The sequence below is a fragment of the Homo sapiens genome, chromosome 4, assembly GCF_000001405.40.
Source record: "Homo sapiens chromosome 4, GRCh38.p14 Primary Assembly".
Lineage (NCBI taxonomy): Eukaryota > Metazoa > Chordata > Mammalia > Primates > Hominidae > Homo > Homo sapiens.
Genome location: NC_000004.12, coordinates 142,727,506 through 142,749,561, shown reverse-complemented (window position 1 = coordinate 142,749,561; position 22,056 = coordinate 142,727,506). Strand labels below are relative to the sequence as shown.

General features: G+C 35.5%; 1 protein-coding gene across 12 annotated transcripts in view; it reads left to right on the top strand.

Moving 5' to 3' along the window:
• The window catches only part of INPP4B (inositol polyphosphate-4-phosphatase type II B), an 823,376-nt gene that overhangs the window by 96,974 nt on the left and 704,346 nt on the right, over positions 1-22,056 (top strand). The window contains exon 1 of one of the 12 annotated variants that reach the window (XM_047416357.1): positions 20,070-20,196. The exons of the other annotated variants lie outside the window; for them this stretch is intronic. The gene's annotated coding sequence lies outside the window, so the exon portion shown is untranslated. Of the gene's footprint in view, positions 1-20,069; positions 20,197-22,056 lie in introns of those variants that run through there. 12 annotated transcript variants of the gene reach the window in all.

Below are 22,056 nucleotides of genomic sequence, written 5' to 3'. Positions count from 1 at the left end.
TTATCCCCAGTACTGCCTTTAGTCTTAAAATGGATTCTTAAAACGATGGCTACATCATTTTCTTTTACTTCTTTTAATTGGTTTACTCTTTTGATTCATCCTTCGTATCCAGTATGCCTTTGTAAGTTTGACTCTTTTGAAGACCATATTGTTAGATTTACTTGGTTACTTTTTTGAAGTTAGAAACTTTGTTTTTTAAAGAACACGTTTAGACCACTTTTATGTATTGTCTTACCATATATATATAAATAAACATATATATGTTTTATATATATATGGTAAGACATTATATAATATATATTATATATGGTAAGACATTATATATATTATATATTATATATATGCTGAGACATAATAAACATAATATATATTATATATGGTAAGGTATAATACATAATATATATTTTATATATATATATATTTGAGACAGAGTCTTGTTCTGTCACTCAGGCTGGAGAGCAGTGGCACAATCTTGGCTAACAGCAACTTCTCCTCCCAGGTTCAAGTACTTCTTGTGCCTCAGCCTCCCAAGTAGCTGGGATTATGGGTATGTGTCACCACACCTGGATAATTTTTGTGTTTTTAGTAGAGACGGGGTTTTGCCATGTTAGCCAGGCTGGTCTCGAACTTCTGGCCACAAGTGACCTGAATGCCTTGGCTTCCTAAGGTGCTGGGATTACAGGCCTGCACCACTGTGCATGGCCTGTCTTAGCTAATATATTTGAAAGTCCTTCTGCTGTTGTTTTGTGCTTCCAATTTGTCTTTTGTGTTTTTTCCCCTTGTACTTTTTGTTTTTCCTCTTTCTGCCTTCTTTCTCAGTGGGAAAGTTTCCCATTACTATTAAAGTTCTTTAATAGAGGGAAGAATATCATTCAATTTTCTATTTTTTTTTTCTGATTCAGTTTGGATAAGTTGAGTTGTTTAGGAAATGTCCATTCCATTTGTTATTAAATTAATTGACATAAAGTTGTTCATTATATTTTATTATCCATTTAATATCTGTAGAATCACTAGCACTATGTATTCTTTAATTATTAATTTTTACAATTTTGTTTCTTCTTTTTTCTGATTACTTTGCTGGGAGTTTACCAATTCTATTAAACTTTTCAAAGAACTAACTTGTGTTTTTAAATTTTCTCTATCATTTGTCTATTTAATTCTTTGGCTTCTGTTCTGATTTTTGATATTACTTTTCTTTTCCTTACTTTGGGTTCAAATTGCTCTTCCTTTTTTCATTTTTTTAAGTCAGAAACTTAGATTTTATTTTCTAGTATAGATAGGCATTTAAAGCTACACATCTTCTAATCACCATGCTAGTTGTGTCCTCTATTACTCTGTTGCATTCTTAACATTAATTTTCAAACATTTTCTAAGTTTCTTTGTGATTTCTCTTTGGTCTATGGGTTATTTAGAAGTGGGTTATTTAATTTCTAATTATTTGGGCTTTTTCTATAGATCTAATTTTTATAGATTTTTAAGTTAATTTCAGTTTAGGAAGAGAACATACTCTGTGAAAATTCATTCTTTTAAGTTTTTTAAAATTATACTCTAAGTTCTGGGGTACATGTGCAGAATGTGCAGGTTTGTTACGTAGGTATACACGTGCCATGGTGGTTTGCTACACCCTATCAACTCGTCATCTACATTAGGTATTTCTCCTAATGGTATCCCTTCCCCAGCTCCCCCACCCCTTGACAGGCCCTGGTATGTGATGTTCCCCTTCCTGCATCCCTGTGTTCTTATTGTTCACCTCCCAGTTATGAGTGGGAACATGCAGTGTTTGGTTTTCTGTTTTTGTGTTAGTTTGCTGAGAATGATGTTTCCAGCTTCATCCATGTCCCTACAAAAGACATGAACTCATTCTTTTTTATGGCTGCATAGTATTCCATGCTGTATATGTGCCACATTTTCTTTATGCAATCTATCACTGATGGACATTTGAGTTGATTCCAAGTCTTAGCTATTGTGAACAGTGCCACAGTAAACATACATGTGCATGTGTCTTTATAGTAGAATGATTTATAATCCTTTGGGTATATACACAGTAATGGGATTGCTGGGTCAAATGGTATTTCTAGTTCTGCATCCTTGAGGAATCACCACACTCTCTTCCACAATGGCTGAACTAATTTACACTCCCACCAACAGCGTAAAAGCATTCCTATTTTTCCACATCCTCTCCAGTACCTGTGGTTTCCTGACTTTTTAATGATCGCCATTCTAACTGGTGTGAGTTGGTATGTCATCGTGGTTTTGATTTGCATTTCTCTGATGACCAGTGATGATGAGCTTTTTTTCATGTTTGTTGGCCACATAAATATTTTCTTTTGAGAAGTGCCTGTTCATATCCTTCACCCACTTTTTGATGGGGTTGTTTGATTTTTTCTTGTAAATTTGTTTAAATTCCTTGTAGATTTTGGATATTAGCCCTTTGTCAGATGGATAGATTGCAAAAATTTTCTCCTATTCTCTAGGTTGCCTGTTCACTCTGATGAGAGTTTCTTTCACTGTGCAGAAGCTCTTTAGTTTAATTAGATCCCATTTTTCAATTTTGGCTTTTGTTGCCATTGCTTTTGGTGTTTTAGTCATGAAGTCTTTGCCCATGCCTATATCCTGAATGGTATTGCCTAGGTTTTCTTCTAGGGTTTTTATGGTTTTAGGTCTAATGTTTAACTCTTTAATCCATCTTGAGTTAATTTTTGCATAAGGTGTAAGGAAGGGATCCAGTTTCAGCTTTCTGCATATGGCTAGCCAGTTTTCTCAACACCTTTGTTTAAATAGGGAATCCTTTCCCCATTGCTGCTTTTTGTCAGGTTTGTCAAAGAGCAGATGGTTGTAGATGTGTGACATTATTTCTGAGGCCTCTGTTCTGTTCCATTGGTCTATATATCTGTTTTGGTACCAGTACCATGCTGTTTGTCTTACTGTAGCCTTGTTATATAGTTTGAAATCAGGTAGCGTGATGCCTCCAGATTTGTTCTTTTTCCTGAAGATTGTCTTGGCTATGCAGGCTCTTTTTCATTCCATATGAAATTTAAAGTATTTTTTTCTCATTCTGTGAAGAAAGTCATTGGTAGCTTGATGGGAATAGTATTGAATCTGTAAATTACTTTGGGCAGTATGACCATTTTCATGATATTGATTGTTCCCATCCATGAGCATGGAATGTTTTTCCATTTGTTTGTGTCCTCTCTTTTTTCTTTGAGCAGTGGTTTGTAGTTCCCCTTGAAGAGGCTCTTCACATCCCTTGTAAGTCATATTCCTAGGTATGTTATTCTGTTTGTAGCAATTGTGAATGGGAGTTCACTCATGATTCCACTCTTGTTTGTCTATTATTAGTGTAAAGGAATGTTTGAGGTTTATTTTCTGGTTAGTGTATGTCCTATCATGATGAATATCCCATGTGTTTTTAAAGAGAATGTGTGTGTAGTATTTGTTGAGTATAGTATTCTATAACTACTAATTAGGTAAAGGTGGTTAGGTAGTGTTATTCAGATTTTTTTCTTAATAAAGAAATAAAGAATAAAGACTTTTCATCTCTTCTTATATTAATTACTGAGAGAGTGGTATTACAGACCTTCAACAATGATTACCAATTTGCTTATTTCTCCCTCTATCTTGATCAGTTTTTGTGTTATGAATTTTGAACCTCTTTTATCAGGTGCATACATATTTAAGATTGTCATATCTTTCTGATGAGTTTACTCTTTTATTATTTTGAAATACTATTTTTGTTTCTTGAAATAGATTTTGTCTTGAGATTTATCTGTCTCATATTAACATAACCACAACAGCTTTCTTATGATTCCTGTTTATACTATATATTATTTCCATCTTTTTATTTTCAACTTATTTGTCTTTTCAAATTTAAATCGACTTTTTTGTAGGCACTCTTATTATACAGGACACTTTATGGGAACTAAAAAGTGACATCATAATTCCCCTAAAGTCTCCCGTATAGAGTATTTATTCCAAGGGTTACCAAATGTTTTCTGTAAAGGGCCAGATAGTAAATATGTTAGGTTTTGCAAACCATACAGTTTTTGTCAAAACTACTGAATTCTGCCATTGTAGCATAAAAGCATTTATAGAAAACATGTGAATGGTCAGGCGATTTTTTTCCACAAATATTTACGAAACAAGTAGGCAAGATTTTTCCTGCAGGACATAGTTTTTTGACCCCTTGTTTAGTCTTAGTCTAGTTACATTTCTCTCTCTGTTTACATTTCATGTAATTATCCATATGGTTGTGTTCAAATCTATCATTGTCCCATTTGTTTTCCTTTTGTCCTTTGTTTTTGTTTTGTTTTTGCTCTTTTTCTATTTTGGGCTAATTGGATATTTTTAAAATATTCTATTTTATTTACTTTATTGGCTTCTTAGCTCTTTTAAAAAATTCTATAGTGTTTAAGGTTAATGCTATCCTATTCTCAACTTTTAAGGTCTATTTAGATTCAGTGTTAATCCACTTAACACCTAACCCTTCACAGTTCCAGCTCCAAACCTGATGATTCCCATTTCTCAGTTTCTACTTCCCATTTCCCAAATATAATAAACATTCAACAGTAAAATTCCGTTAGCTTGTCCCTTATCCATTGTACCTTCTTTTGCACATCTTTTTTTATATACTAAAAACTCTACCTTGTGAAACGATTATTGCTTTTATAAAAAATAGCCTATCTTTTAAGAAATAATAAGGAGGAATAACATCTTATATTTATGTCTATTTATTTTTATGACTCTTCCCATCTATGGACATGACTTTTCATATAGTTTAATTTTTCCCTTTTTTATTTAACATTTTTTGTAGTTTATGTTTGTTGCAAATAATTTCTGATCTTTTGTTTATAATAAGATGCCCATTTTACCTTATTTTTGAAGGATATTTTTATTAGATATAAAATTCTCAAATAAATTTTTTCAGCATGTTAAAGATATTGGCTCATTGTTAGCTTGCCTACCTTGTTTAGATGAGCAGCCAGCAATTGTTTTTCATTATTGTTCCCTGTAGTAATGTTCCTTTTCCTCTGATTGCTTTATCTTTTGTTTTCAGTGGTTTGACCATGACGTGTTTGGGGATTTCTTTAATTTGATCTTTTTTAGGATTTTTTCAAATTCTGGATCCTATAAGTTGATTTTTCCCCATCAAATTTGGCATATTTTCAGCCATGAATTCTTTAAATACTTTATATTCTATTTTTTTCTTCCTAAGACTACTATTATACTTATGGTAGTTGTTGGATATTGTCCCCCATTTCTGTTCATTAAAAAATAAATTGTGCCTTTATCCTTCAGATTGCAGAACTTCAACTGATTTCTCTTTCACCTCACTGACTCTTCTACTATTTCTGGCCTGCTGTTAAACTCATCTAGTGAATTTTACATTTCATTTATTGTTCTTTCCATTATAGAGTTTCTATTTGCCTTTTAAAATAGATTTCATTTCTTTTCTGAGAGTCATCATCTGTTCTTTCATTAAGACTATATTTTCCTTTAATTCTATGAACACATTTTCTTTGGTTTTTTGAATATGTTTAAATAGTTGATTTAAAGTCATCATCTGCTAAATGCAAGACCCATGCCATCTCTGGGTCAGTTTCTTTTGATGGCTTATTCTTTACTATGTGTCACTTTTTTATGTCTATCTAGTAATCTGGTAATATAAGTAGTTATACATGGTAAAAACGTTTAGTAGATGATCACCTTGAACTCATGTATCCCAGGGTATACATTTTGTTAGGGCAGACCTTTGGAAAACCTTACATGTGTCAAAAGCCACTCTAACTGTTTCACTTAATCTCTGAACTCTATGTCTCCTGTAGATCTTGTCAAGATTTAGCTTTAAGCTTTGTTAGGGTGAATCTAAAACATATCTTACTTTAGCTCATTATCTCCACTCACAAAGTATGACTCATAAAGCAGCCAATTTCTCAGCTGGCTGCCTGGGGTATTAGACTGCATTAATGAGGTATCTCCACTCTGGGTGACATGAACTCCAATATCCACTGTCACTGCTTGACCTCTAATTTCTCTAACATCTCTCATGCATTCTCAATCAGTAGCAGTAACTCTCTAAAATGCCTCATGTATTCTTGTCCTGGACAAGTATAGCTCAATCCTTGGCCAAGAATTCACAGGGAATTCTGCTCAGATATCTGAAACCTCCCTTCTGAGCAGCTACTTCCTTTCTGGCTTCTTGCCTTGCATATTCCATTCACTTCAGCTTCCTTGAACTCTAATCTCTGCCTTCTAAGAGCTGCAGTCCCCTTTGCTTTGCTTGGATTCCAACTTGCTTTGCTGAGGTTGGAAAGTTATCACTAAGGAGATAACTGGGACTATTATGGAGCTTTCCTGTTACTCATAAAGTACAGTTTTGTGCTGCATGTTGTGCAATGCTTGAAAATATTTTCCCAATATATTTTGGCCACTTTTTGGTTGTTTGTACAGAATGGACTAATCCAAGACAAGTTACTCCATTATAGCCAGAAACAGAAATTCCTCATGGCTTGTTTCTGATTGAGATTTTCTGTTTTCTTCTGTTCACTCTGCTGGTTTGAAGTTAATACACTTGAATTCTATTTTACAGAAATTAACCTTAGAGTCATTACTTTTATAATCGGATTCTAAAGTTAATTCGTCTCTCTCGTCTCCTTCTCAGTATTGCAAGATATTATAACTGAAATTTTATCACCTCCCTCTTTTTTGGTACAATCACTTAGCTCTACATTGTTTTGTTATTTATTGAATTAAACATGATTACTTTAAATAGTTATTGTTGATTAAGTTTACCTACCTATTCACTATTTTTTCCAGTTCTTCTTATATCTCATACTTATCTGAGATTCTTTTCTTTCTGCCCCAAAATCTTTCTTTAAAATTTCCTTTCCCATGGGTCATTTGGTTGTAAACTTTGTTTTGATTCATCTGAATATATATTTGCTTCATTTTTGTTCTCAAATTATAGTTTAAGAACAGAGTCTTAACTGACTTTTTTTTCTCACTACTAAGACTATATTTTTTCTACAGCCTTCTGACATCCGTCATTGCTTTGAAAATCTGTTGATATATGATATATTTGTGATCTGTTTATTGCTAATTGTCTTAGTTTGCACTTATTAGAGTCAACTCAAGATGGGGATTCTCAGTTTTGTTAGTTGGAATCAGAAAAATGAAAACAGAAATAAAAACAAGATAGAGCAGGAAAATTGCAAGTTAAAAATGCAACTTAGCAGAAGATCAGCCTGGTCCCACAAGCATCTCTGCAACCTGAGGGTTCCACAAAAATGTCCCCCATTCATGCTAGGGTACTGGCCTTTGGTATCCTTTTATAAGTCATGCTTTGGCTGTGGGCTGTCCCTAGAGGGAGTATGAAACTTTTGAGACATTTCCAGTGATAGGAGGACAATTATCAATAGGAGGGTGAGTGTGGGTCTACTGTTTTGGTGAAGGAAATCTGGGTAGGGCACCAAGAGTCAATCTGTTATTTCAGGCTGTAAGAAGATCTCTTTATCGTTGGTATTCTACTGTTTTACTAGCTTCTTGGTGCAAATTTCTTTTTATTTATTCTGCTTGGAAAACTCTGTTTCCTGAACCCAAATATTTAATTATGGAAAATTGAAACTTCTTTTTTTAGTATTGTCTCTTCTAGATGACAAAATTTAAGAGTAAATGCCTCCTTAAACTTTTTGCCCTATTCCCTTGCCATGACCTAGGCCTGGCCCTGGTCTCTCCATTCTCTCTTCTCTCTTCTTCAGGGAATCTGACTGGTCACAAATTAGAACTTCCTATTTTCTTTTCCACCTTGCATAAGTTTTATCACTTTTTCTGTCTTTGTTTTATGTAATGATTCAAATGTATTTTTCAGTTTATTAAGTCCCTCTCTGAAGTTGTACCTAATTTTCTTCAATGCATCTATGCGATTATAATTTATTTATTTAATTTTTAATTTCTAGAAGTTACTTTTAGTCTTTTAAAATTCTAATTGGTTTTAATATCCTATTATTCCTTTGTTATGTCTTTAGTTTCTGTAAATGGTTTGGATGTGTGTTTTCTCCAAATGTCATGTTGAAATGTAATCCCCAGTATTGGAGATGGGGCCTGGTGTGAGGTATTGGATCATGGGGGCAGATATCTCATGAATGACTCAGCACTATCCCCTTGGAGTAAGTTCTAGCTCAGTTAGTTCACATAATATTTGGTTGTTTAAAAGGGGCTGGCTCCTCCTCGTCTCTCTCCTACTCCCACTCTTGCCATGTGATGTGTCTACTCCCTCTTCACCCTCCACCATGTTTGTAAGCTTACTACTATCCTCACCAGAAGCCAAGCCATTCTTGTATAGCCTGCAGAACTGTAAGCTAATTAAATCTCTTTTCTGTATAAATTACCCAGTCTCAGGTATTCCTGTATAACAACACAAGAATGGCCTAATACATTTCCTTTTTTATACTCTTAGGGATTTTTAACACACTGATTTTATTTTGTGTTATCTGACTGTACAAAGTCTGAATTCCTTGGCAATCAAATTCTAGTGTTTGTTGCTTCTTTGGACTTTCCTTTATAAAGGCTTACTTTTGGGTAGGTTGTGTAATTTTGGATTGCGAACTTATTATTGGTTTATTTAAAATTCTGGGAATCCTGAGATGTCTAAGATGAGGTTATATTCCTTTGAAGAGGATTTAATTTGCTCTTTTAAGTTAATTTATCTTCTGAAAGATTTTTAGGACTTATAAACTGTAGAAAACAAAGTCCAAAAGCCATGGGGGAAGGATTGTGGATTATGCATTTTTAGAAGAATTCCTTTTTTTGCTACTCCAAGCCAGAAATGTCACAAATATTTCCCTTGTCACTTACCCCTGTTAAGGTGCAATTTTTTTTTATTGTCCACCCTTTTGGGCTTTTGAGTGTTGTAAACTCCAACAGCTCATCTTTTACAAGACTAAAATCTTCTCCACTATTTCTTATAAGGCTATTAAAATCCAAGGTTCCAAGATCCTAGTGTTAGTAAACACCACCAATGTACCCATAATTTTTGCACTAGGATGTTAACCATTGTTTCAACTCCGACTTCATTTTGCCCTTGTGAGATCATCCTTACTTTTTTAAAATTCAAAAGTGCTTTTTAAAGTATGTTTGTTGTGTTTTATTAAGCATTTCTAAATGTTTTGAAGCAGAAAAGCGTTTTAGAATTACTAGTGTCTATATTGCCAGAAGCATAAATCTACTTATTGAGCACAATGTAGTTTTTATTTTTGTTTCCTTTTTCTGTCATACTTTGATAGTGGGATATGGAGGTATTCAACTATAATTCCATTTGCTTAGATTGTTTATTTTTTGAATTTAGATTTTTTGGGTTTTCTGTGCTTATGTGCTTTCCACATTGCAAAATTTGTTTCAGCTGAATTATTTCTGTTGTTTATGTTCTCCATCAAAATTGTTGAATCCTAGAAGAATAGAGGCAAAGACTGACAGTTAATTTTATCTAATTTTTAAAATGTTAATTCCTCTGGACACCTAAATTTGTATACTATGTTTTATACATGCTTTAGTGCGTTATGCACATAAACTACCTAGTAGTAAAAGTTCCATCCTCTTTCGGCTAAATCAGAAATGTTATGAAAATGGGAAAATTGTTCTTCATGTCTCTTTTCAATAGTTATTGTGAAGAGTAAGAGCAATAATATATATGTGAAAGAAATACCAAGTGATTAGTTTGAGCAAAGGCTCAATAAAAGGTGCTTGTAGCGTTTCTTAAATATAATGTGTTATTTCAGTTACATTGTGAATCCTTAAAATAACGTATTATTTTTTCTTTCATTGCTTTTAATCCAATGACCTAATGAGTTATTGGAGCCTCCTGCATTGATGCTAAAATTTCTGTATCATTGATGTCTTTTCTAGGCTCTTAATGTTCCTCTTTCTGTCTGTCTTTGTGGGATGCGTGGGGTGCTTCTGTCTTTCTACATTTTGTGGTGGTGGTGTATGTATACCAGTATGTTACATTGATAATTTTTTGATATTTCAATCGAATTTACTGAAATATAAATCTCTAAGAGATAAATATATTCATTTTACATAACTCTGATATGGTTATCACACGTCACACAGTTAAAATTGACTCATTACCATCTAATGCCCATTCTATAGGCAAACACTTCATATTTTCCTATTGGACAAATTCTAAACAATTACTTTCCTTGATACCATATGCTCAAGTAAATTAATATTCTTATCCTACTTAGCTCATATAATGGAATATCATTCAAGAACCAATGCAAAAAGATAAAGTGATAAAGAAATTTCATAATTTCTATCAAGATATGGGTACTAGAATTTCGTTAAAACAGTGATAAGCACTTACCAACATAGAATTTTGCCTTAATTTAAAAACTGAAATAAGATTGATTTTCTTTTGCATTAATTTACGGTTTTTGAAGTTTATTTGATGGTTTTCAAAGGGATATTTCTCTTTGAGGGTTTTATTTTGTTATTATGTTTGGTTTTGGACATTGTTGATGGTGATTGTTTTAGCCAGAGGCAAGAATCCTGTATTACTACAAAGTCATCTTTCTGGAACTTCTTCAGGACAGCTTATACAAAAAACAAGAAACCCCTAGGTCAACTTGTAAGTGAATACTTGATAGCTAAGAAAACCTGAGAAGAATTTCCACAAGACTTAAGATGAACATTGTGAATACAGCAGATAGTATAAAATCACACAGGATTTTGAGAAAATAGTAGCTCCTCTACTACTGATCTTTTAACTTAGGAACGCTCATAGACATTTACAAGGCTACACACTGGAGCTAAAGTATGTCAGTTCTGTATATTATTTCCAACTGATGGCATTTGTAGACACATATGGGGAATACAGAACCTTTCAAACAACTAGTTTTGCAGACAGCCCTTGGAATCTAATATGTTTATAAGAAGAGAAGCTTCTTTTTTTTTGTTTTTATTATACTTTAAGTTTTAGGGTACAGTGCACAACTTGCAGGTTTGTTACATATGTATACATGTGCCATGTTGGTGTGCTGCACCCACTAACTCGTCATTTAACATTAGGGGTATCTCCTAATGCTATCCCTCCCCTCTTCCCCCACACCACAACAGGCCCCAGTGTGTGATGTTCTCCTTCCTGTGTCCGTGTGTTCTCATTGTTCAATTCCCACCTATGAGTGACAACATGCGGTGTTTGGTTTTTTGTCCTTTTGATAGTTTGCTGAGAATGATGGTTTCCAGCTTCATGCATGTCCCTACAAAGGACATGAACTCATCATTTTTTATGGCTGCATAGTATTCCATGGTGTATATGTGCCACATTTTCTTAATCCAGTCTATCACTGTTGGACATTTGGGTTGGTTCCAAGTCTTTGCTACTGTGAATAGTGCTGCGGTAAACATACATGTGCATGTGTCTTTATAGCAGCATGATTTATAATCCTTTGGGTATATACCCAGTAATGGGATGGCTGGGTCAAATGGTATTTCTAGTTCTAGATCCCTGAGGAATTGCCACACTGACTTCCACAATGGTTGAACTAGTTTACAGTCCCACCAACAGTGTGAAAGTGTTCCTATTTCTCCATATCCTCTCCAGCACCTGTTGGTTTCTGACTTTTTAATGATTGCCATTCTAACTGGTGTGAGATGGTATCTCATCGTGGTTTTGATTTGCATTTCTCTGATGGCCAGTGATGATGAGCATTTTTTCATGTGTTTTTTGGCTGCATAAATGTCTTCTTTTGAGAAGTGTCTGTTCATATCCTTCGCTCACTTTTTGATGGGGTTGTTTTTTTCTTGTAAATTTGTTTGAGTTCATTGTAGATTCTGGATATTAGCCCTTTGTCAGATGAGTAGATTGTAAAAATTTTCTCCCATTCTGTAGGTTGCCTGTTCAGTCTGATGGTAGTTTCTTTTGCTGTGCAGAAGCTCTTTAGTTTAATTAGATCCCATTTGTCCATTTTGGCTTCTGTTGCCATTGCTTTTGGTGTTTTAGACATGAAGTCCTTGCCCATGCCTATGTCCTGAATGGTATTGCCTAGGTTTTCTTCTAGGGTTTTTATGGTTTTAGGTCTAACATGTAAGTCTTTAATCCATCTTGAATTAATTTTTGTATAAGGTGTAAGGAAGGGATCCAGTTTCAGCTTTCTACATATAGCTAGCCAGTTTTCCCAGCACCATTTATTAAATAGGGAATCCTTTCCCCATTGCTTGTTTTTGTCAGGTTTGTCAAAGATCAGATGGTTGTAGATATGTGGCATTATTTCTGAGGACTCTGTTCTGTTCCATTGGTCTATATCTCTGTTTTGGTACCAGTACCATGCTGTTTTGGTTACTGTAGCCTTGTAGTATAGTTTGAAGTCAGGTAGCCTGATGCCTCCAGCTTTGTTCTTTTGGCTTAGGATTGACTTGGCAATGCAGGCTCTTTTTTGGTTCCATATGAACTTTAAAGTAGTTTTTTCCAATTCTGTGAAGAAAGTCATTTGTAGCTTGATGGGGATGGCACTGAATCTATAAATTACCTTGGGCGGTATGGCCATTTTCATGATATTGATTCTTCCTACCCATGAGCATGGAATGTTCTTCCATTTGTTTGTATCCTCTTTTATTTCGAGCTATCTATGACAAACCCACAGCCAATATCATACTGAATGGGCAAAAACTGGAAGCATTCCCTTTGAAAACTGGCACAAGACAGGGGTGCCCTCTCTCACCAGTCCTATTCAACATAGTGTTGGAAGTTCTGGCCAGGGCAATCAGGCAGGAGAAAGAAATAAAGGGCATTCAATTAGTAAAAGAGGAAGTCAAATTGTCCCTGTTTGCAGATGACATGATTGTATATCTAGAAAACCGCATCGTCTCAGCCCAAAATCACCTTAAGCTGATAAGCAACTTCAGCAAAGTCTCAGGATACAAAACCAATGTGCAAAAATCACAAGTATTCTTATATACCAATAACAGACAAACAGAGAGCCAAATTATGAGTGAACTCCCATTCACAATTGCTTCAAAGAGAATAAAATACCTAGGAATCCAACTTACAAGGGATGTGAAGGACCTCTTCAAGGAGAACTACAAACCACTGCACAACAAAATAAAAGAGGAGAAGCTTCTGTTTTAGGGTCTCAATAATTAACTCATGAAAATTAAATAATATTCCAGGCAGGAAAGCTGATAAGGGAATGAAGCATTCCATATTATTAATTATAACAGACTAGAACACTTAGTGGTAAAAAAAAATTACAAGAGCAAGTTTCATAGAAATTAGGGAAATAAATTAGTTGAAGGAAGAATTAAGAAAGCCCTAGTTTAGAGCACTATGTCATCTAAAGCAAGTTTCTGAAACTTTAATATTCCTTCTGATCATCTGGTGCTCTTGTTGAAATGAAGAATCTGACTCAGCTGGTCTGGGGTGGAGCTTGGAATTCTGTATTTCTAACGAACTCTAGGTGATGGTGATGCTGCAGTTTATGGATCACCATTTGAGTATAAGAGGTCTAAACTCTCAGAATTTGACTTTGGCAATGGTGTGACATAGAAGGTAAGAAAATATGTAATAAAATACCTAAAATGCAATTCAGAGAATAGTGGTGGATGTGTGTGTGTGTGTGTGTGTGTGTGTGTGTGTGTGTGTGTGTTGCAATGTATAGAATGATATACGTAAATTTCTTTAAACTCCTAGGCGATAATAATTACTTTAAATTAAAGATATAATATGTTTAAAATTCTAACGAATGCATGAAAATATAGAAAATAGCAAAGACATACAAAGAATAGAATTTGTGGGGGACATACATTTAAAATAAAATGAGAAATTTCACAGTAAGAAGAATACATTCTAATAATAAGACATAGAGACAGAATTTGTGTTAGAGTAACAGGTGCACATGTGGAAAGAACTGAGGCACATTAGCTCAGCTGAGAAGTCAAAGGATCGGGGTTTGTGGCAGCTCCCTGCCTTCAAATCTTACTTTTGCTCGATGGCTGTGGCTTGGGCAACATGGTAACCAAACTGTGCTTCAGCTTACTCATCTATAAAATGGGGATAATAGTGTAATCAGCCAAGAAGGTTGTTATGAGTATTTAATATGCAAGACAGTAACTTAGAACAATGCCTGGTTTCTGTTTGGCAGTACTGAAGGATTAGTTTTATTATTACAATAATGATAATAATGTTATTTCTAAAAATTTAAGACTATACTTAAATTTAAGACACTAAGATTTAGTGTTTACAAAAGGAAATAATTTCAGAGGTCAGGCATAGCACTGAAAGTCTGACACTGGGTGTTTCCTGGCTAAAGTTGCCCAAATTTTAAGAATTTCTCAAATATATACACTGTTAAGTATACAAATATGCTTTAAAATTGAATAGACATATATTCTATGCTAAATTAAACGTACATAAAAGTGATTAAATAAACTGAGGAGAAATCTAAGTCAAAAATATTAAAAACAGAATGTGTTCTAGGGAAAGACTGCTGTTGTCTTCAGGTGCAGCCCTGAAACGTCGGTTCTCCAATGATCACACCTGTAGTGCTAATGAAGAACACCTGCAGATTGAAAGCTTCCTTTTATTTCTTCTTGATTACCTTTAAAATCAGGAATTATTTAAAAAATCGGCCAGGCATGGTGGCTAATGCCTGTAATCCAAGCACTTTGGGAGGCTGAGGCAGGCAGATCATCTGAGGTTAGGAGTTTGAGGCCTGTCTGACCAACATGGTGTAACCCCATCTCTACTAAAAATACAAAATTAGCTGGGCGTGCTGGCGCATGCCTGTAATCCCAGCTACTTGGGAGGCTAAGGCAAGAGAATCGCTCGATCCCGGGAGGCGGAGGTTGCAGTGAGCCGAGATCGCCCTATTGCACTCCAGCCTGGGCAACAAGGGTGAAACTCCATCTGAAAACAAACAAACAAACAAACAAAATCTAATAGTGCCCATTTTTTAAGGGCCATAGACAGATGAATTTGGATCTTAATGTCACTTGAAAAGTGTATCGAAGGAAAAGTGAGCAAATCTTAAGTGTACAACTCAATACATTTTTTGCAAAAGGAATATACCTGAAGATCCAACACCTAGATCAAGAAACAACATTTGGTGCACACCAGAGACTCTCCTCATGTCCTCTTTCAGGTACTGTATCCTCCTCAGAGCGTTTCCTCCCACTTTTATATAAATGTGTATTAGTTTTTCAGGGCTGGCATAATAAAATACGATAGATTAGGTGGCTTAAGAAACAGAAATTTATTTTATCACAGTTCTGGAGGCTAAAAGTCCAAGGTTAAGGTGCCAGCAGGATTAATTTCTCCCAAGGCCTCCCACCTTGACTTGCAGACAGTATCTTCCTGTGCCCTCACAGCCTGTGCTCATGCATCCCTCGTGTCTTTCTCTCGTCTTACAAGGACACCAGCTGTATGAGATTAGAGCACCACTCTAAAGACCTAATTTAACCTTAATTTTCTCCTTAGAGGCCCTATTGCCAAAGACAGTCTAACTGAGTGTTAGAGCTTTGCCATATGAATTGTGAGGGGATGCAATTGAGCCCATAACAGAATGTTTTCCTATAGTACATACTTTTTCCATGTGACTTCTTTCTTTAACATGGTTTGTGATATTCATATTGTTCATGTAATCAGGGTTTCTTCAGTCTCATTAATGCATAGCATTTCATTGTATGAATATATCTTAATTTATTAATCAGCTTTACTGTTTATGGAAATTTGGGTTATTTCTAGTTAATTCTTATTGTGAATAGTGCTACTGAGAATATTGTTGTACATAATATTCAGCAACTTTTATAGTGGAATTGCACAGCCATAAGGTGAGACACTATCAAAGGAGAGATACTACCAAACTCTTTTCCAAAATAATTACATGAATTTCTACCCCTACCAGCAGGATATGACAGTACCATTCTTCCACATCCTTGCTAACTCTTGCTATTATCTTTTTTTTTAATTCAGCCTCATTTGTCTGCTTATAGTGACATCTCATTGTAATTTTAGCTTGCATTCCAAAAGACTAATAAAGGTGAGGGATTTTTAGGATGTTTATTGAAAATTTGAAAGCCTTCTTTTGTGAAGTTTATATTTATGACTTTTGCCCAATTTTCTATTCAGTTGTCTCATTTTCTTATTGATTTATGAAAGTTTATTGTATATATTCTGAGTATTGCAGGTTTCTTTTTATACTCCATGGCTTGTCATTTCATATTCTACTTGGCATCTTTTGGTAAACAGAAGTTTTTAATTTAAATGCAGTCAAACTTTAATGTTTTCCCTTGACGGTTACCACTTATACTCTGTTTAAGAAATCACGATCTGCCCCAAAGGGAAAGATATTTTCTTCTAAAAGCTTTATTGTTTTGTTTTGAACATGTAAATGCACAACCTCTGGAAATGATTTTTGTATATGTAGGAGTCAGGATCCACTTTTTCCCCACAAATTGATATGTAATTCATTCAGCACCATTTAGTAAAGAAATTGCCCCTTCTCTACTGTTCTACATTGTCAAACTTGCCATAATTTACTTGTGTAATTTGTTGTTATAACTTGTGTGAGTTTGTTTCTGGACTTCCTCTTTTGTTTCATATGTGATTTGTCTGTCTTTGTACCAGTTACTGTCTTAATTACAAAAGCTTTATAATAAGTTTTGATATCTGGCAATTTAAAAATTCTAGTTTTGTCTTCCTTGGCTAATCTTGGCCCTTTGTATTTCTGTACAAATTTTAGCTTGTTAATTTTTATATTAAAAAAAGACTACTGGGATTTTGGTTGTGATTACCATGAATATCCAGATTAATTTGAAAATTGACATCCTTATAATATTGAGTCTTCCATGTATGAGCATGATGCATCTCTCTCCATTTATTTTTGTTTGCTTTATTTCCTTTAAATACTATTTTGTAGATTTTTGGTGTAGATATCACGAACATCTTTTGTTAGATTTTATTCTGAGTATTTGAGATATTTAATTCTCTTTTAAATGTTATAATTCTTATTTTTTATTTGTTCATTATGGTAGCATAATTTGTTCTTGTAAAATAACTCTGAATTCAGTAACATTGCTAAATTTACTAATTAAATCTAATAGTTTTCTGCAGACTCTTTAAAAACATTATTTTCATTTTAAATGTATTTCATCATTTATTAAAAGAAATGAATTAAAATTATTTTCATTGATATTTCTAGTGAAAATAAAATTGGAATTTTTATTTTAAAATATTAATTGAATAATAATATTAACTTATAGTGAAAAGAAAAGCTGGATTATAGATGAGAGTGTGGGATAGTTCATCAGCATGTGAGTAGATGCTAGATAAACTGGAACCATTGCCTCTTCTCTGTCTTCATAAGCATAATACTCTTCAGTAAATGAGTCTGCCATTCTGGTCTTTAGTTTTTATATCTATAAAATAATGATACTGTACTACATAAGTTTAAGTTCTTTTTTATCTGGGATGGATGACTGAGATAACTTTTTGCTAAATGATTGTGCTTTAGACTTTTTTCCTTTTCTGCTTTTTCTTTTATAGTCTTGTGATGATGGGGATAATGGGCCTCATGTGATCTCATTCTGGGAAAGGGTACTAGGTGGGACCAAGTCCACCTGCACTCCCCTGTCTCCTATTCATGGTATTTGAGAACTTCTATTGCTCCTGGATACCAGGTATTGGCTATTGAGATGATGCAATTTTGTCTCAGGTTCATCTTTTTAGAGACTGTCCTCCACTAATGCACCCTAAGTGTTCCTATATCATGTTAGATGTTGGATGATGTTTTTTTTTTCCCCTGAAAATCTCAAGTTCTTTTGAGTCTATGTCCTGAAAAGCCATCTGCTAGTCCTAATGCTTCTATTACCTTTATTCCACTTTCTTGTGGGGGGTTTCACTTAGAAAGAAGGGAAATGAAGACTTCATGTTTGACTTCCTCCTCTGTTTCTTTTCCTCTTGCCTATGCTCTTGAGCCTGAGGTAGTTTATTATATTCTTTTCTCCTCTTTTAGCATGGCAAAAGTCCTTGATCTAGTTTTCTAAGTCTGAATTCTAATATTGTAATGGAAACAAGAAAAGCCTTATATTCAAGATTATTGTCTTGCTATATGGATCCAGAATTATTGGCAGACATCAAAATGTAGACTGCCTTTTTTAATTTTATTTATCTTGTAGCAATCTTGATCTTTTTAGAGGCAAATGCTATGCCTGGCAGAAAGGTGAGGTCAGACACAGAGAAATGCAAAAGGATTGCATTTAGATATATTTCCAAACAACATCCTTGTTATCCTTGTTACATAATGTCATATCATATTTCTCATGTTATTTTGTTTTCTGCTTCTTTTCCATCTGACATGTCCAAATAGTGTTTAAATGTAATGTGGCCATGGACACAGGGAGGGGAACAATACACACTTGGGCCTTTCAGGGGAATGGGGTGGGGGAAGGGATACCATCAGGATAAATAGCTAATGCATGTGGGGCTTAATACCTAGGGGATGGGTTGATAGGTGCAGCAAACCAGCATGGCACGCGTTTACCTAAGTAACAAACCTACATGTCCTGCATCTGTATCCTGGAACTTAAAATAAAGTAAAATTAAATTTAAAAAAAAACTTGGTGCGGCAACAACTGCTATGCCACTGCTATGCAATTTCTGTCATAGGACATGGAAGGATATTATGCCACATAAGTCAACGCTGTCTACCTACATTAATAGATATTTAATAGATAGCAATTGTGTCTGCACTTAACAGGTACCTTCTCCATATATGCTGATCATTGAGTTTAGCACAAAAGGAAAAATGTGAGAGGCACAAGTTAAAATAACTGTCCTTGAAGAACTTAAAATATATCTGTGGAGACACGACAGCACAAGACAACTCAAGAAGGCAATATAAGTTATAGGCATTGACTATAATTGCTGCACAAGGTAGAAGAACGATAAAATCAACAGAGTCCAAAGTACCTGGAGATCACTTTCTGGAGAAGTTGTCATTAAAGCTTTGACAGGGCAGTACATTTGGAAGGTGCTGAGAAGTAAGAACTGAACCACAAGTAGAAGGAATAGACCTGAAGAATGGAACTGGGATAGAACAACGTGGCAGCTGTTAGACACTCCACTTGACTGAATAACAGAGATTATATTGAAGAACAATGTAAAATTCATGGAATGTATAGGACACCTTTAAAATAGTATATCCAGAAGACATATTGTATAATTTTTAGCTGTTTCCCCCATGAGTTTCTTAAAACACAAATTGTGAAAAACTAATATCATATGATGTGAAATTGGAAAACTTTGACCCCTTAAAGCAATAGCTATCAGATACTAATGTGATTTATAAACCAGATCACCTTGTAGAAATTCCCTAGTGGGAGTGTAAGAACTGGGTAGATACCTCCTACGTTTCCAATCCAAAAGGGCTGGGAGATCTGGAGATGAAAGGAAGATTTTATGGAGTGAACTGAAGGTGTACTCGAAATATACACAAGGAGAGATGGTGTAGGGTGTTTTCCCCCTCAGAACTAGAAAGAGCTCTTCAAGGAGACTCTCTAGAGAGTTTAAAAGGTATCTCTTGAAGTTTTGAGGTTTAGTGGAGACAGTGGACTGGATTCTGATTAATTCAAAGACCAAAGATGAGGTGGTGAGCAGCTTATGGTACAGCAAAGTAAAGATTCTGAATGGGGATTCATCTATTTTTCAGGGGTTGTTAGATTCCTCTGGAAGAGAGGTGGGCCACGAATATGAAAGAGCTGTCATGAGGTTGTCCTAGGTATTTCCTTAAGGCTTCCCAGCAACTGAACTGGTCTCAGCTGACTAGTGACTGTGGATGAAGTAAGTAACAAAGTGAGACAGTATGACCTGCATCAAGCATAGTACAGGTGAAAGGTCTCCAGTGATTGGAGGTGAGGATTACTGAAGAACCAGGAAAAGCTCAAACGGGGAGAGAATCAACTTTGTGCCTGTCCCAAAGAGGGAGCCTTCTTGCTTAGTGAGCAGAAAGTAAGCACTTTCCTGCTTCATTTACCTCTTGTTTCCTCACCTTTCCTTTTTCCACTGCTATATTCCAGAGGCATCAGGATCCAAGGTTCACTAGCTGGAAAAGAAGGACATGGGGGAAAAATAGGGACCAACAAATTCCTTTCCATTGGCTATTGGCTTCCATTTGCAGCAGATTCCAGCTGCAGGAAACTGTTAAAACTGTAAGTCAGTTTGTCACGTGCAGCTGGGTGTTCTGATTTCTAAGTTGAGAATGTGTTTGATGAGCTAGCAGGGATCCCCAACCCCCAAGCCGTGGACAGGTAACTGTCTGTGGCCTGTTAGAAACCGGGCCACACAGTGGGAGATGAGTGGTGGACAAGCAAGCATTACTGCCTGAGCTCCCCATCTTGTTACATCGGCTGCAGCATTAGATTCTCATAGGAGCATGAACCCTCTTGTGAGCTGCACATGCAAGGGATCTAGGTTACGTGCTCCTTATGAGAATCTAATACCTGATGATCTGAGGTAGAATGGTTTCATTTGGAAACCATTCCACCTCCCCCATCTTTAGAAAAAATTGTCCTGGTGCCAAAAAGTTTGAGGACTACCAATTAAATTAACCGTAAGATTTTTTTTTAATAAGTTCTAAGTTATCAGAGTCTAGATAGAAGCCTGATTCTTGTTGGCCGAAGACATGTGTTATTAGTTTCTTTGACTGCCATAACACATTACCACTAATTAAGTAGCTTAGAACAAGAGAAATTTAGTGTCACATTTCTGGAGGCTAGAAATCTAAAATCAACATGTCGGCAGGGCCCTGCTCTCTCCGGAGGCTCTAGAGAAGAATCTGCTTGATGCCTTTCTTTTAGTTTCTGATGTTGCTGGCAGTCCTTGGCATTCCTTAGCTTGTAGATTTATCACTCCAATCTCTGCCTGTCTTGTCATATGGCACTCTGTCTGTGTGTGTCTTTGTGTTCACATGGCTTTCTCTTCTCCATGTATGTCCATCCCTGTGTCTCATCTCTTCTTATAAGGTTGCCAGTCATACTAGTTTAAGGGGCCACCTTATTCTAGCATAACCTCATCTTAATTTACATCTTAATTGCATAAAGATTCTTTCTGAATAAGATCATATTCAGGGTAGGACTTCAACATATCTTTCGGGAGTACATAATTTAACCCACAACAGATGTTATGCAGATGTTGGTCTACTTGATGCCTGCACCTGGAGTTAGGGATTGTTATTGGTATGAATCAAAGTCTCTTCCTAATTTCTTTATTTAGAAGACATATATGCTGTACTCTTTCAAAATATACAGTGTAAGGTTCTGAGTCTGAAACAGTGTTTCGTAGTCAAGCCCAATCAGGGCTCAGCTATTAGAAATGCCACTTTATATTTTGTCCATTTTACTCCCAGTGCTGTTACTAATGTTTCTCCTCTTTGACATCCTCTGACCACTTTAACAAGAAATTGAGAAGACTCCCAATGGGCACTGTGAGTGGACCTTACGTTAATGTGGACTTCCTTTTTTTATGCTTCCAGTTTTTGTATGCATTACCCCATCTTCCTGGAAAGACATACCTGCTTACCTGTCTGTTAGGCTTAGTACTTCAGAGTTCTCTTTTGTGAAATTTTCTTAGACCAAATAGCGCTGACTGTCAGCCGTGTGCACAAGTTCAGCTATTCTGACTGATTTTTTGGGGGTTGGGGGACAGGGACTCATTCTGTTGCCCAAGCTGGAGTGCAGTGCTGCAATCTCGGCTCACTATAGCCTCTGCCTCCTGGTCTCAAGTGATCCTCCCATCTCAGCCTTTCGAATAGCTAGGACTACAGGTATGCACCACCACACCTGGCTAATTTTTGTTTTTGTAGAGACAGTGCCTTGCCATGTTGCCCAGGCTGGTCTTGAACTCCTGGGCTCAAGCAATCCTCCCACCTTGGCCTTCCAAAGTGCTGGGATTACAGGGGTGAGCCATGGCACCCAGCCCTGACTTATTTTTTAAGATTATGTTTTAAATCCTTTTCTGACTCCAGAATATTCTTTTAATACTTTCTGCTCCTTCAAAACTCTATGTATTAT